This window comes from Homo sapiens, chromosome 3 (assembly GCF_000001405.40).
Source record: "Homo sapiens chromosome 3, GRCh38.p14 Primary Assembly".
Taxonomy (NCBI): Eukaryota; Metazoa; Chordata; class Mammalia; order Primates; family Hominidae; genus Homo; species Homo sapiens.
Window position 1 is genome coordinate 76484906 of NC_000003.12, and position 17421 is coordinate 76502326.

Below are 17421 nucleotides of genomic sequence, written 5' to 3' on the forward strand. Positions count from 1 at the left end.
TTTCTCAATCCTGTCACTACGCAGGGCCCTATTTGGTCAACTATCTGTGCTTTTCATTCTTTATGTCCTATTCCCTTATTATTTATTTAAGCTAAGTTAATACTGTACAATTGCAGTCCCCAACCTTTTTGGTACCAAAGACCAGTTTTAAGGAAGGCAATTTTTCCTCAAACGGTGGTGGCGGGGATGGTTTCAGGATGAATCAAGCGCATTATATTCATTGTGCACTTTATTTCTGTAATTATATTGTAATACATCATGAAAAAGTATACAATTCTCATAATGTACAATCAGTCGGAGCCCTGAGCTTGTTTTCCTGCAACTAGATGGCTCTGTCTTGGGGTGATGGGAGACAGTGACAGATCATCAGGCACTAGATTCTCACAAGGAGCACGCAATCTAGGTCCCTGGAATGCGCAGTCCACAATAGGGTTCATGCCCCTGTGAGAATCTAATGCTGCCGCTAATCTGACAGGAGGCAGAGCTCAGGTGGTAATGTGACCAATGGGGAGAGGCTGTAAATTCAGATGAAGCTTTGTTCACTCGTCTGCCACTCACCTGCTGTGTGGCCCGGTTCCTAACAGACCGCAAACTGGTATCAGTCCATGATCCAGGGGTTGGGGAACTCTGCTATATGAAAAGCTATATACTCATAGCTCCCTCCATAAAATGTGGAAAGACCTTTGCCTTGTGTGAGCCTACTTTGAGAAATAGGTGTCACCTGTTTTTTTCAGAGCAAAGGCTATACATCTCTGCCTTTTTCTAAAATGTTTCTCACAGGTAAGGGTTGCTGTTTGTACTGAAGTAAAACTGTCTAGAACCAGATTACATACAAAATTTTGCTTTTTATAATTTAAAAAAATAAAGTAGGCTACTATTGCTTTGGTGTGCCCTCTGTAAATTAAGACTATAGTCGTGGATCTTAAAATAACAACAATTTGTTAGAACAAAGAAACAAACAAACAAAATTTCACATTTTTCCTTGCTCACCATTCTAAACTCCAGAAACTCTCACTAGACCAAAATATGGAAACATGGAAGAAAGAAAATGAAAGAATTATATGAGATGTCACTCATAAGGTTTGGTTTGCACCTCAGTTCAATCACTCTCCAGCTACAACATCTTGAGCAAGCCATCTTCACCTCCATCTCCGGTCCAGTAATTATAAGATTGTAAAGTAAGCCCTGCCTTTGTTATCATCAGGGGCTGCAAAAAGAATCAGGTGGCATAATACCTGTGAACCTGCTTGGTGAACTCCAAAGTGTGACATAAATACTTGTAGTTTTTTCTGGGAAGGACTTAGCAGCCACAGGGGCATTGTCAAGATGATGTTGGAACTGCTTAGGTCTTCTTTCTGGAGAAGGAAGAACTCAGACTTGAGCTCTTATGCAGAGAGCCCTTAGAGTGATTCTATACGATTAACTACCTTGGGTTGAAGTTATGTCACTTTCTAGGCTAATGCTCGGTGGTTACGCAGAGGGATTTTCATCTGTCGTATGTACAACTGACGCACATTGAGTCATGACAATGTTGAACAGCGTTGGTGGTTTAGATGCAACACCTATCCTTTACGTAAGGGGAGTTGGGTTTTTGAGGTCTTTGCAGGATTTCTAACAAATATTTTTTTCCAAAAAAATGTTTACTCAGAAAATCTCTGGTTATCTGATAATGAAAACTCATATATCTTTGAAATGTCTTATGATGACATTTGGCAAGGATCAGTGAGAGTCTTCTCAAATATTAGAAAAACCAAAATAAATGTATGAGGGCAAATTCTAAAGGATGTTTTATGTTCCTGTTATTTAGCAGTTTTCTGAATCTCAAAATGATAGCTAATACTTTTTCTCAGAAACAAAATGTATGATATTATTATTCTTTCTCTCCATTGTCATGTAATGAATGGAAGAGCAGACAGGGTGCAATTAAGGCCTATGAGGTTTCCTTTTTCAACATTTTTCCTATGTGTCCTTGATATCTTTTCTAAATAATTGTTATCCCCTAAACCCTCTAAATGTTATAAGGGAGTAGAACTTTTGGAATACCCAAGCCAGAGACTCACATTTTTGTTTTGTTTGTCTTCAGAGACAGGGTCTCGCTTTGTCCCCCAAGTTGGAGTGCAGTGGCACAGTCATAGCTCATGACAGCATCGAACTCCTGGGCTCAAGCAATCCACCTGCCACAGCCTCTCGGGTGGCTAGGACTGCAGGTGTGTGCCACTATACCTGGCTAATTTTTTAATTTAATTTTTTTTTTTTGTAGAGACAGTGTCTCTCTTTGTTCCCAGGCTGATCTCTAACTCCTGACCTCAAGCGATTCTCCTGCCTCAGCCTCCCAAAGTGCAGGGATTACAGGAGTGAGCCACTGCACCCAGCGAGAATCACATATTGTTCTGCTTTCTGTCCCGTCACATCCTTTTTATGATAGTGGACCTCAGTGACATAACCTATGGGCTTAAAAGGGGGATAAAAACGTATGTAAAAATGTAAAAAAATGGAACCAATATAATAGCTTACTATCTTTAAAAATGTTATTCTGATAAAAATATATAGATTTTCTATTTCAACAATAAATGAATCTTCTAATACTTTAGTAAAACTTCTCAAATGGAGCTTCTGTTTAAGATTTTAAAGTAAGCCTAGTGGTCCAGGAAATAACACGCCAAACACCAGTAGTCATAATACTTTCTCTCTGACTCATATTATCAGGGCAGAAGTTCGAGCCTAGTTTACTTAGGTTCTCTGTTTAGAGTCCTAGAAGCCTGCACTCTAGGTGAAATCCAGCTGCAGCGATAGACTCATCAGAGACTCATCAGATCTCCACTGGTGAAAGATCTTCCTAGTTCCCTCAGGTAGCTGAAAGAATTAATCTCTTTGCAGTTGTAGGACTGAATTCCCCATTTTCTTGCTGGCTGGCTGCTCCTAGAAGCTGCCCACAATTCCACATGACTATCTCCGTGGACCCTTTCACAACCTGGTAGCTCACATCCTCAACACCAGCAAGAGAGACTCTCTCTGAGTTTAGCCTGCAAAGGTAGTTATACAATGTATGGCAATCACAGAAGTGACATCATTACCTTTGCCATATTCTACCATTAGAAGCAAGTCTCAGACCACACTCACACTTAAGGAGAGAGGATTACACAACCATATAAACACGGGGAGTCACGAATAATCAGGGTCAACTTAGGTCCTTTCTGCCTCAAAGTGAAAGGGTTTGCATTAGTTTTCTATTGCTGCGTAACAAATGACCCGAATTAGCAGCTGAAAATGCAAATGTATGACCTCACAGATTCCGTGGGTCAGAATTTTGGCACAGCATCACTGAATTCTTTGCCCAGTTTACTTGGAAGACCTCAAGGGGTTCTTTGGGGGCTATCTTATGACCTCATGGCTTTCTTCCACGCCCATTAAGAACATTGACAGAATTTAGTTCCCTGTGGCTGTAGGACTGATGTTCTTGTTTTCTCTCTGGCTGTTGAGCTGGACTGTTCTCTGCTGTTAGAGAAGACCTGCCATTGCCTGCCATGTGGTCCTCTCTCTGCTGTTAGAGAAGACCTGCCGTTGCCTGCCGTGTGGTCCTCTCCACAGCATATCAGCTGCTCCTTCAAAGCCAGGAGGGGTACATCGCTGCTACTTTGAATCTCTGCTCTTCTGCCACTGACTTCTAGACCCAGATTTAAAGGGCTCATGTGATAAGGTCCATCCTATCTAAATACTCTCCCTTTAATTATATCTCCCAAAATCCTTTTTTCCATGTGAAAGAACATAATCCCTGGAGTGATATCCCACCGTATCCATAGGGAGCAGATATCTTGGAGGCCATTTGAGAATTCAGGGGGTCTAGGATAAAGGACACACACACAAAAAAGGGTGTGTCAGGAATTTGCCTTTAAAACCCTAGAACTGATTTTATTGAAATCACCTACATTCAAAGTTAGAAAATCAAGTTTACTATGGAAATTATAGCCTTTGTCCTACTACCTAGAAGGACGATTTTGTGGTATTTATTTTTGTGCAGTTCTTACTTTTCTTCTTCCTCTTTTTGGTGAGAGGGCAAAATCTGATTATTATGGGAGGCTGAGGCAGGAGCATTGCTTGAACCCCAGGAGGTGGAGGTTGCAGTTAGCCAAGATCGCACCACTGCACTCCAGCTTGGGTGACAGAGTGAGACTCTGTCTCAAAAAAAAAAAAAAAAAAAAAAAAAAAAAAATCTGATGATTAGAACACTGGTACTGACTTCTTTTTTTTGTTTTTTTTTTTGGCCTCTTTTAGGTTTTGTCACAACCTAAAACATTTCTCAGTGGCTCTGATGAAAAAATGTTTGTAATGGATGTGTTTTATAAGAGATGAGAACTTATACTCTGTTCATTGCTGAAATGGGAAATTACCTGCTCTTACCTTAAAAATATCAGGATAAATGGAAGCCACAGTGATATAGTAGGAAGGGCACTCAACTAGAAGAGGAGAGCCTAGAGTTCTGATCCCAATAGCCTGAGCAAGCCACACATTTTTGGCAGAATCTTAAAGTGTATGGGTTTCAGTTTTCTCATGTACAAAATTACAAAGTTAAACCACACAGTGAATTCTCAACCAGCTTTAAAATGTTATAATTTTGTGGTTCCAAAGTGAAGTAAGTAAGTAGTAAGAAGTTTTCACCAAACATCATCAGCAAATGCATAGTCTCATGAATAATTAAAAAATTATTTTATTTATAACTTCTCACATGGCCATTTGAGTTCAAAATTTTATTTGAGTTATTGTTACTTTGAGCAAAATAATTGTATTAAATGATAATTTTTAACTTTTACATATGTAAATCTAGGTGAATTAAACCAATTATAAAAGCTGCCAAAAGTACATAAAGATATATGGTTTAAAATAAAAAAGATATTATAAATATTCTTTTATAAACATTTTAATATTTTAATGAGGTATTTTTGCACTTATTGAATTATAAAGAAAATATACCTGAAAACAAAAAGCCTTTCAATAAACATTTTTTTCTTTAAGGTTTTCAAAATGAACACATTAGGACATGCCTTAAATTGAAATGAGTATTTCAAAAATAAAACAAAAGTGTATTATTTGCTCTGCTCATCTGTGATTATCCTGGGCTGTTGTTTAAAGATTTTCTTTAAAATAAGAATGCTCTCCTAAATGCCAAATGCTTTTGCTTATGTCCACCCTTTTTGGTATGGAAGGCTTTTGTTCCTTAAAATGTCACAGTCTTTTCTACCTTCCACTTCCTCCTTTTTATGACGAAAGAAATTTTTTATCTATTTTCTCAGAGCTAAAGGATGGATCCCCATCACTAAAGTTAAAGAAAATCAGGATTGATGCCTGTCCTCGCTGTCACAACCTAAAACACTTCTCAGTGGGATTGTATGACAGTAATGATTCAATTGCAGATCAATGTTGAACATTTTTGGCAGAGTTGGCTGCAGAATGAATAGTCTTCTCTCCTTTTGGGTCAATGGAACCCCAATAGTTCTGATTTTTACAAATCTGTTTGGTTTCCTAGTGTTAGTAGTGTCTATCGTTAGTAAGTTTTAATAGCAAAGCGAAATGCTTATTATTTGACACAAAGAAAAAGAGTTCACATTTTGCCAGAAGGAAGCACTATACTGAGGTTAAGAATTATTCTGGAGTGCTTACGCTTCAGGACTGTGAGAAGTGATGAAAGTAACTCTTGCCACTCTAATATGTCGCCATGATAAAATTGTTCATGGAAAAAGGACACACATTTTTATATTTTTTTAATTTAAAAAAATGCAACCCCAAACTTGAGAAAATCTCAGAATGAGGACCACAGACAGAAACTGTCAGATTTGAGACAAGAAAGTGTTGAATGTCTATCGCATTAGTTATGTGTCTCTGAGCTTTCTTATGGCTTATATCCTGTAGTCCACATTTTTATTTAGGGTTATTTAAAGCTTTAAAAATCAATAGATTAAAAATAGCAGACCAAAGAAGATTCAATAGAACAACTCCCCTAAATAAAAGGCAAATAGAACAGAATTAATTCATTTGATCCTCAATGAAGATTAATTTTGTTTTTTTTTTGGAGGGGGAGATGGAGTCTCACCCTGGGTTGCTCAGGCTGGAGTGCAGTGGTGCGATCTTGGCTTACTGCAACCTCCGCCTCCCAGGTTCAAACGATTCTCCTGCTTCAGCCTCCTAAGTAGCTGGGATTACAGGCGTGTGTCAGCAGGCCTGGCTAATTTTTGTAATTTTAGTAGAGATGGGGTTTCACCATGTTGGCCAGGCTGGTTTTGAACTCCTGACCTTGTGATCCGACCTCCCAAAGTGCTGGGATTGCAGGCATGAGCCAGGGCGCCCGACCTAAGATTAATTTTTTTAAAAAAAAGTAATAGGCACCATCACATCAGCCGTAGAGCATATGATCTCCCTTATCCCATTCCATGCTCAGTCTTCCTCTCATCTTGTAAATTAATACTTGCATGCACATACTATCACTCATTCTACTTATAAACCCAAAGTACTTCACAATTAAGTAGAATGAGAGAGACTGAGTTAGCAAAGGAACTTGGAAGTTACTGGAGAACTAGCTGCATTGTATGTGAATTGTAGAATGGATTAGATAAAACAGAAATCAGAAATGTGCTGCCTGGCATATACTCTTTTAAGCAACTCCTGGTGTATATGACATTAACAGAATGATATTCTACCTTTGTTTTGCCCTTGTTTAGGCATTATTACATTGAAAAATTATACCTATATTGAAAATTTTCTTAAGAAAATGCATTCATTACAGTCAAACATTGCTTCCTTCTGGAAGGAGAATTTGAGCTTTCAGATTATATTTTTATTCTTATATTCTCCCCTCTTTTCCCTCTCCTCAGTACTTTGTAGGTTGTGGGACTGGAGACTGGTAATGAAACAAACAAGCCAGGTGCGGTGGCCCACGCCTGTAATCCCAGCACTTTGGGAGGCCAAGGCAGAAGGATCACCTGGGTTCAGGAGTTCAAGACCAGCCTAGCCAACATGGTGAAACCCAGTCTCTACTAAAAATACAAACAAACAAACAAAAAAATTAGCTGGATGTGGTGCATGGTGGTGTGTGCCTGTAGTCCCAGCTACTGGGGAGGCTGAGGCAGGAGGATCGCTTGAACCTGGGGAGGCAGAGGTTTCAATGAGCTGAGATCGTGCCACTGCACTCCAGCCTGGGCGACAGAGCAAGACGCCATCTCAAAAACGAACAAAAAAAAACACCCCCAAAACTTAATCTAGTGTTGTTAGCTATTATTAGCACATTTAAAATATAGGCTCAGTGATAAAAGCAGTTTCAATTTTGGGCTGTATTAGGCTTTTAAAATTACCTGTTTAATTTTATCAATCTGGTTTCAATATTTGTTATTGAGAATAGATGAGAATTAGCTTTGTTGATCAAAACAATCTGCCTGGTATATTAAAGATACGAGACATGACCTGTTTATGTGTTCGCTCCTTTTGACCATGCATGTTCTCTCATAGACTCTGCCCATGGTCCAGTTGCTTTCTAGGGCAGCATTAAAAATTATTGTGAAGGTCATCCTTCACTTCCGGTTTCCAGGAAACTTACTGCACATGTTGTCTTAGATGGCAAAATTGTCACAAATAAGAACTTTGACATTTAGTTTTCAAAAGTGCATAAAGAAAAAAAAAACAGGGAGGAAAAATAATCAACTCAGTTCCTTTGTTTCTGAGTTTTGCTGTCATATGGTCAAACTTCTCAATGCCTTACTGTTTTTACCTGATTTGTCCATCGTCTTGTATGAATTAGCCATTAACGACGTACTATATACAGCTTTTTTTTTAGAGTAAATGGAGGATCCTCATTCAACTAACTTGGACTTTCTGACCAGTTATCCATGTTTTTCCACTAAAATGACAAACACAGCAGAAAGAACACGACTGAATGACTTCTTCATATTTTATAGTAACATTCTAGCAATTTTTATAACGATTTTAAATAGTAGTTTTATAATTGGATATAATCATGTAATTATGATTTTATAATTTAATTTTTACATTGTACATTGGTTATAATTACATTATGTTTTTAAAATAATTTAATTCTAAAATATAATGCCTCACAGTTGAAGTATTTGCACTCACTGGAAGAGACATCCGTATTTAAAATAGAAAAAGGCAATGAAATAGAATGACATGTTTGGGGCATGTTTTTGCACATATGCATAGCGTTGTGGCTGTCTCAATATTTAAAAGTAGGTAGAAATGTATTTGACTGTTGCTGTCAACCATCGCACTTTCTTAGCCTCTTTTGTTTCTTTAGCTATTTTCAAGTTGCTAAGCTCAGCCAACAGCACAAGTCTTCCTGACACCTGGCACTATTTTGTCTCTTTCTCTGAAACAAACCTGTGGTATTAACATATCTTAGCACTTGAACCCAAAACATGTAGACAAAAAATTATATATATATATATATATATATATATAATTGTATATACATGTACAAAAAAGATTTCATGTACACAACAGTAAGAAAAGTCCATCCAGTGACTTTCTTGATGAGTCTCATATCAAAATATTAAAAGATTGCTTTAGGCTGTTATTTTAGTCTTGTTTGTCCATATCCAATTTTTTTGGAAAAGTTCATTCTCTTCCACTAAAATATTAAAACATATTATTTTTTCCTATATGTTTCCTTGCATTTTCAAATTTTATATCTTTATGTTGACATCTTACATTATGCGAAGCCTTCAGTTTTTCTTGATGACATTCACTGATGCCATCTCTTTCCATTTACTATCGATTTCCGTTCCCAAGCTAGTAAAGCTGTTGGAGCACAGCCTTCTACTGCTGGTCCCTGACCCCTTTGCTAAGGAAAGTTTTGTCTTGTACCTCTGCGAGGCACTGAATGCATCTCCCCTTTCTTCTCAAAGTTATCATGAAAGATCTCAATAACAGAAAGTAATTTTTTATTCCTTTTATTTGTTTTTAATTAAAAGCTTGATTTCTTGAATTTGTTCCACAAATGAATGCATCTAAAGAGATACTTAACACAAAATTGAGGGGAAATCTGCTTTTAAAGTACGTCCATAAGATCCAGCAATTTCACTCCCAGGCATGTACCCCAAGCAATTGAAAACAGCTAAAAGGATGATATGTATGTGAATGTTCACAGCAGCACCAACCACAATGGCTGATATGTACGTGAATGTTCACAGTAGCGCCAACCACATTGGATAAAAGGTGGAAACAGCCCAAGTATTCATCAATGGAAAAGTAGACAAACTAAGTGTGGTATATACATACAATGAAATATTATTCACACATAAAAATGAAGGAAGTACTGATTCATGTGTAAGGGAGGCAAAATTTTACCTCTACCCTCTTAGGGTACTTTAGCTGAGCCTGCGAATTAAACTGACATACGACAGATTAAGAGGAGAAAGGCATACACATTTACTTAATACACGTTTTACATGACACAGGAGTCTTCAAAAGAAATGAAGATGGAAAAGAGTGGCAAAACCTACATACTTTTATACTCCATTGATCAAAGACATGCAATTGTAGGCAAGTAACTAAACTACGGGGGGAGGCTAAAGGAAGATAGAATTATTTTAACAAGGTCTGTTTGTACAGAATTTTGGGGGTCTCGACTTCCCATCCTTGATGATAATGTTCTTTTCATTGTGGTATAGGGAGGAGATCTTCCATATGGGGTTTTTATCTCCTGTTCTCAGGAAGAAAAAGGGGAGCGTTTGAGTGCCTTTGTACCTGCTGTTTCTTTAAGTGACTTTAGCACAAAATAATCTTTATGCCAAACTGGCAGAAGTTGGGGTGGCGTATTCTGTTACTCTTGTGCTGTAATGTGGAGAAACCTCAAAAGCATTACGCTAAGTGAAATAAGCCAGACAAAAAAGGACAAATGTCGTATGATTTCCTTTATAAGAAATATTCAGAATAGCTGAATCCATAAAGACAGAAGAGATATTAGAGATTCCAAGGGCTGGAGGAAGTAGACAATTAGGAGCAACTGCTTAATGGGTACAGGGTTTTCTTTTGGGGTGATGAAAATATTTTGGAACTAGATACAGGTGGTGACTTCTCAACATTGTGAATGTACTGAATACCACTGAATTGTGTCCTTTAAAATGCTTAATTCCATTTTATTAAAATTTCACCTCAATTTTTAAAAAACAGGGAAAGTACCCTCACGTGTGTTTGAAGTTAACATTTGTAAATAGATGAAGACAAATATAGCCTATGGAATCTAACTCTTTAGTATACCATTAATTTTTACAAATTTAATAGTGCTTTGTATTTATCTTCATTTCCTTTTTTTTTTTTTTTTATCTGATTCTGGAGTTTAAGACACACACAAAAAATGTAATAGCCCTCCAACTGCCCTAGGTTATGTTTTATTGGTTAATTAATATCTCATTTAGTGGTTGAAGATATTTGAGTGTGCCTGAGTTGTGTATTAATGGAGTGCTAAAACACGCCCTGTCATGTCTTAATGCCATGAGACAGCCTCATATTCAGTAAGTGAAAAGCGATGAAAACTTCAGTGTCTTACCACTGAAGTGCTTACTAACTTAGTCAGATGAGATTAAATGATTAATCATTTGTTCACTAGCAATCATCAATCTTTCTCCATTCTAGTATTAGGTATTATTTTTGTTCTGGATCATTTAGGCTATAGACCATTTTCTAGTTTTTTTTTTAGATTGTATGTGCTCTGTTCTTTCTTTTAAAGCATCCTTAAGCATATGGAAGAAACATGGACAACAAGGTATGCTATGAAAGCCCTTGAAAACTGGGTGAAAATGTTCACATAATGGGGTTTTACAGCAGGTCTCATACGTAATGAAGAACAACTATGTTATCAGAATACAAAATATGAAATCCATGTGTGAGATAAATCCAGTGTCAGTCTGGGTATTTCTTTTACATCAATAATTTAGAAAAGTGATGGACATTTCTTACTACAATGATGCATGGTTTTATGTTTCTATGGAAGTGGAGTGTTTCAAGAAATGTATGCCTATTAATATTTTGTAATGAATTTAATTAACAGCCATATTGTACTTCTTGAGGTCAGAAAAGTAACATCGTATAGTGGAAGCATTTCCAGAGTTGTCTTTGGGGTCTGCCTACAGGCAAAATGTTGCATGACTGAGCAAACTCCTTTACTTCAACAAGCCCTCAATTTTCTTTATCTATAAAATGGAATAATTTTCATTTCGAGATTGTTGTAACAGTTAAATAGATTCATCTATAAAACATGTCTGGCATACTACCCAACTCCTCACCCATTTCATCTTCACGTGACAAATATCACTCTTCATTCTTTAAGTTTCATTTGTAATTCTTAAATTCAATTCTTTCATTTTCATCTTCAGAGAAAAATGAATAGATGGATTAAGAAAAGAGAATGACCGTAATTAATCTATAAAGTTAACAAAATTTCCATAAAAACCCCTCTAGGGGGTACCTTCACAATGTTTCTAAATCTCATCTAGAAAAATAAGTGATTTGTGAATGCCTCAGATTCTGTTCTAGGACCTATTACCTTTATACATCCCTGGAAAATTTCATATGTTACTAAAGGCTTATTTGCTTCTATATTTTGAAAACCTCTAAATGTACTTCTCCTGTTCCCAAGACTCTCATATCCAGCTGCCTACTTGATTTCCCAGTGTGGATCTCTAATAGGCATCTCAAAGTTAAACTTAACATGCTCCGAGCTGAAATCTTGACTCCCTAGAGTCCTTCCCCAGTTTCTGTCATGTTGGTAAATGGCAATACCACTCATCCAACCGCTAAAGTCCAAAACCTTAGAGTTTTTTAATTTCTCTATTGCTTTTACAACCCCTACCCAAAATATCAGCAAACCATTTTACCTATTTTCCAGATATGTCCAGAATCTGACCACTTCTCATCAACCATACTATTATATGGCATCCCAATCCACCATCTAATATTGCAATAGACTTGTGGCTTGTGCTTCAGCTTTCACTCTTGCCCCTCTATGGTCTATTCATTACATAATAGTCACAATGAACCTTTTAATAGCCAAATCAGTTCATGCAATTTATGGCTCCAAACTCTACAAACTTCCCATTGCTTTAAAAAGAAGCAAGTCTTTAAAAGGCCACATCACCTTTTGTGGCTTCTGTCTCCTTGGCCCACTGCACTCCAGCCACAATGAACATTATGTGGTTGTTTTTCAAACACTGCCAGATACTCCTGCCTCAGGGCCTTTGCACGTATACTTTTCTTTGATTGGAATGATTGATCTCTGGCTATTTTTCACTGTCTTGTTTTTTTCATGCCTCTGTTTAAAAGTCTCTCTCTCCCTCGCTGAAGTGCAGTGGTGTGATCTTGGCTCACCACAGCCTCAACCTCTCATGCTCAAGCAATCCTCCCACATCAGCCTCCCAAGTATCCTGGAGTACAGGTATGTGCCAGCATACCAGGCTAATTTTGTTTAATTTTTTAAAGATGAGGCCTCACTGTGTTGCCCAGGCTGGTCTCAAGCTCCTAGGCTCAAGCCTTCTTCCCGCCATGGCCTCCCAAAGTGCTGGGATTATAGGCATGAGCCACCACACTGGGCAATGTCCCATTTTTAAAGGGGAATTCTCCAACTACTGTACCTAAAATAATATCTCTTGTCTTGTGTGACGGTTAATTTTATGCATCACCCTGGCTAGGCTGTAGTGCTCAGTTATTTGGGCAAATATAAGTCTAGATGTTGCCATGAAGGTGGTAGTTACAGGCAAGTCACGTTGAAATCAGTAGATTTTGAGTGAAGCCGAGTACTCTCTATAATATGGGTGGGCATCCTCTAATCAGTTGAAGGTGTTCACAGAAAAGACTCAGGTTTCCCAAACAGGAAATAATTCTTCCCACGGTCTGTCTTGACTCAGGCTGAGACATTAACTTCTGCCAGCATTCCCAGCATTCCCAGCATTCCCAGCATTTCCAGCATTCCCAGCATTTCCAGCATTCCCAGCCTGCTGGCCTGCCTTGCAGACCTTGCACTTTCCAGCCTCTGCAATCACATAAGCCAATGCTTCTTCCTTAACCTGCTTTATTTGTCTTCACAACTTATCACTCCCTTACACTATATTTTAAACCTCTTTGTTTACTCATTCATTGTCTGCCTTCCCAATTTGAAGATAGGTTTCAAGAAGAAAAAATTTTCAGTGGTATGTTCAGTGTTGTAATTCTAGCACCTAGAAAATTCCTTGGCATATATTTTTTCAAAAAGTGTATATGTACTCCAAACATTATTTCTCAGTGAATGAATTACTAGGCACAAGAGTTTGGAAATACTATAACTCATAATTATTTGAAACATAATTGTATGATGTTCTACCAGGCATTACAATGTATTTGAGTGGTAGTTGCTGGGGGCGCAGTAGGGTGTGGGGTTGGAGAGGTGTTTGTTAAAGGATACAAAACTTTAGTTAGATAGGAATAAATTCAAAAGATGTATTGTACAATGTGGTCACTATAGTCAATAACAGTATATTGTATTCTAGAAAATCACTAACGGAGTAGATTTTCAGCATTATCACCACAAATAAATAAATAAGTGTGAGGTAACATATATGTTAATTAGCTGTATTTAGAAATTATATAATAAATATATATTTCTAAATATTCTGTTCTATGCAAGAAATACATAATTTTTGTCAATTTAAAAATTTATTAATTAAAGAGAATCTTGGCATATAAACTTTTGAACAAGCAATACATCTGTAACCAAACATACATCTGCTTCTTCTTAGTTTGTCTGCTTTTTTTTTTTTTTTTTGAGACAGAGTCTTGCTCTGTCGCCCAGGCTGGAGGGCAGTGGCACAATCTCGACTCACTGCCACTTCCGCCTCCAGGATTCAGGATTCAAGCAATTCTCTGCCTCAGCCTCCTGAATAGCTGGGATTACAGGAACCCACCACCATGCCTGGCTGATTTTTGTATTTGTAGTAGAGAGGGGGTTTCACCAGGCTGGCCAGTCTGGTCTTGAACTCCTGACCTCATGATCCACCCTCCTCAGCCTCCCAAAGTGCTGGGATTACAGGCCTGAGCCACTGCGCCCAGCAGTTTGTCTGCTTTTAATGCATGAGTCTGTATACACCCCATCCACTTAAATTTATCTGGTTTTCCTTTCTACCCCTCATAGGTCAACCTAGTCTTTACCTTACTCCTGCTCATTACCCAGAACTCCAAAACTAAATCCATTCTTAGTAAGATGCTACCACTGATCTCATGACCTTATTGGAGGGATGATATTTGGAAGATTACACCTGCCACTGTCCTTTCCCTCAATTTCTCCGCAACATAAGGCTTTGTATAGGTAATGCCCTTTACTGAAAAGTAGGGGAAAATATAATACAGGAATAAAAAAACTTAAATATGGATGCTACATATGACTGTCCCTAGATTCCAAAGAAAATGTGAAGTGAAAAAATGATATCTTGTATAGGAGTCCCTTTGTTGACACTCCTCAGCCCTAAGCTTTGCTTCTCTATCCCAATGTCCAACCTCTATTCTTCATCATCTGGAGAATACACTCCACTTCCTTCTCAAATAACATATGGCTTGACTTTCAGGAGTACATTTCTCAAGTCCTAAATTATTCCTTCTGGACAAACATTATGGAAAAGAAATCAACTGTAGGCTTTGATCACCCAATCAGTCTCTTTTGAGATCTTTTCAAAGAATGAAAAGGCACCTGTTCATTCTTCCTGCAGCCATTCTGTTACAGGTAACTATTCGACCAAACACTGAAAGTAGAGTCAGAGTTAGCAAATGTGAAGACACACATGTACGTGCAACAGACATTTCAAAGAGTATACATTAAAACTATATCAATGGAGAGAAACAACTTCCTAAAATCTATGTCATCTCCAAAAATCCCCCTAAAGATCTACAATGGAGACAATTTTACATTGCTTTACAGACTATGAATTCTCCTTTTTTTAATGATGGTTCCAAGCTAGCCCGTGTGTGTGCTGATATACAAATAAGTAGGGCAAATTACTAGACCTTATCAAAGAACAGAGACACAATGGTTTGGCCAACTTTATTTACATAAAGACCTGGCCAAAGGTTTAAAACTCAGAATTTGTTTTTTCATTTAATCCAGGAATGAGAGTCAAACACCCAAACACCGGTGGAGGGGAGGTTTTAAAACTTGGGGTGGTGGGGGGACAGTAAAAATAGTTTATTTTATTTAATTAATTTTTTTATTAGAGATAATCTCAATCTGTCACCCGGGTTGGAGTGCAATGACACAATCACAGCTCACTGCGTCCTTGACTTCCTGGGATCAAGCAATCCTACTGCCTCAGCCTCCTAAGTAGCTGACACTACAGGCGAAGGCCACCATACCTGGCTAATTTGTGTACTTTTTGTAGAGACAGGGTTTCATCATGTTGCCCAGGCTGGTCTCCAACTCCGGAGCAGTCTACCCACCTGGGCCTCCCAAAGTGATGGGATTACAGGTGTGAGCCACCGCACCTGGCAAAATAGTTAATTTTAAAGGAAAATATGGAATGTAATATATAGCCCTGCAAGGGCAGCTGTGAGGTGATTCCTGAAGTGCCTAACTACCCTAGGACCAACAGCAAGTGACCCTGTAAAACAAAGTCAACACAGAAGCTCCTCCTTTCCTTAAAGAATAAATTCCTCTGCAGACAAAGGAGAAGGGGGTACCACATTTGTCACATTCTTCACAAAAGCAGTCACATCAGTTTTTTTATGACAGAGTGACAGCTCTGGAAAGCTCTCCACATTACTCAAAAATCTATGAGATAAAAGTTAATTTTTATTTTATTAAAGTCAGTTCTAGAAGATAAAGTTGGAAGTTGGATATCTTTGCATGGTGATTTCGCGGTTCAAAATTTTCTGAGATCCTTCCCCTTAATTTTGAACAAGGGAAGAATAAAAACAGTATCATTTTTTAATAAAATGATAGGTATCCAGTATAGCATTCCTCAAAAGAAATGCTATTTTTTAGGGGTTATGAATCATCACTTGACATGTCCTGTGTACAGCAGCTCCCAGGCTGTGTCATAATTCTAGAAGGCCTGGCTTGACACTGTAGGGAGGGCTAGGAAGCATATTTGTCATAAATCTCATAACTTATCCTGCAAAATATCAGAAAAGCTGGAAATGAATGCCAAAAGGCTATTATTGCATCTATTTATACACTGTTCACTGTATTATTATGTATCAGAATTGGATTTTATTTTAAACCAGATTTTATCAGTTTGAAGGTTAACTTTATTTTGGAGAGGGACATAAATTATTTCTCTTAAAGTTCTTTCAAAGTTTGAAATAAATTGTTTAGTTTGCATTATACTTCAGAGAAATGTCCACTGTTGGTTTGTCTTCTCAAGGGAGGGATCAAAGTCTCTGCTATGTATAATAATTGGACCCAAATACTCCAGTAATGATAAATTTCAGCCCATTATATTATCCCAATCCTCTACTGTGGAAAGTGGAGGAGATGAGAGGAATCCGAGTCAGAAATGATGGTAATATAAATAAGTTTTCAAATACCATGCTAAATTTCTTTCAAGGCTAATCATTAACTCATTCTTCCACTCAGCAGGTATTATTAAGTGTTCAGTTGTGCCAGGTATGTGGAGTAGTAGCAGACAAAATGGCCTAAATCTAATACTGCAACAATCTTTTCATGTTAAATAAAATCTCCTAGCTAATAGGTGACAGAGCCAGAATTTGAACTCAATTTTGACCAGAATTCAGAGCCTGTATTTTAATTTGCTTCTTTATCCTACACTGTATTTTCTCTTACTTAATGAAACAGATTTAATTAGAAAGGCTCAACTCTATGAATTAAATATAGGGATATCATTTTTATAACATTTTATATTAACAGGGTACAGAAAATAAGTATACTCAGTGGGGTGGGAGTAGTTCACGTCTAACAGCAAGCCTCACCCCCAGCCTTTTTACATGTACGCTGTTTGACTTATTGTCAAAAGGACACTGTTATTTTTATAGTTTCTGGAAGAGATTGATCAAAACTTCAACTATTGTGGAATTAATTTGAAAGTTTTCAAAACTACTCATTTTGCCACAGAGGATACTTTTAAAATAGACTCCCATAATCTTTAATATTCAAACATTTATAATAATACATATGGTTTTCAGAAGCATATATGATACAGTGTTAATTTTAAAGTGTTCATGACATCAATTATGTTTTGTGAAAGATATAATACATCAGGCTTTGTTAGGACAATGCAGAGACAGCCCAGAATCATGAAGGTGGAAATAAAGATGATTTTCTTCTGCCTTAATAGCTTTAATTGCAGGATACAGTAGAATACAGCTGCTCCTCCCTTCAAAGTTTCATTTCATTGCCTGTCTATAAGCTGTCACACCATGGTTGCCACTTGACTGTTATGTCAC

General features: G+C 37.5%; 1 protein-coding gene across 29 annotated transcripts in view, besides 1 other annotated feature; it reads left to right on the plus strand.

Moving 5' to 3' along the window:
* The window catches only part of ROBO2 (roundabout guidance receptor 2), a 1743290-nt gene that overhangs the window by 578231 nt on the left and 1147638 nt on the right, over nt 1-17421 (plus strand). The window lies entirely within an intron of this gene.
* Nucleotides 12563-13196: an enhancer, noted in NCBI's record as "OCT4-NANOG-H3K27ac hESC enhancer chr3:76546619-76547252 (GRCh37/hg19 assembly coordinates)". NCBI's record gives its function as "activates a minimal SCP1, AML or CMV promoter by ChIP-STARR-seq in primed H9 embryonic stem cells {active_cell/tissue: H9 hESC(primed)}" and the evidence as "EXISTENCE:reporter gene assay evidence [ECO:0000049][PMID:30033119]".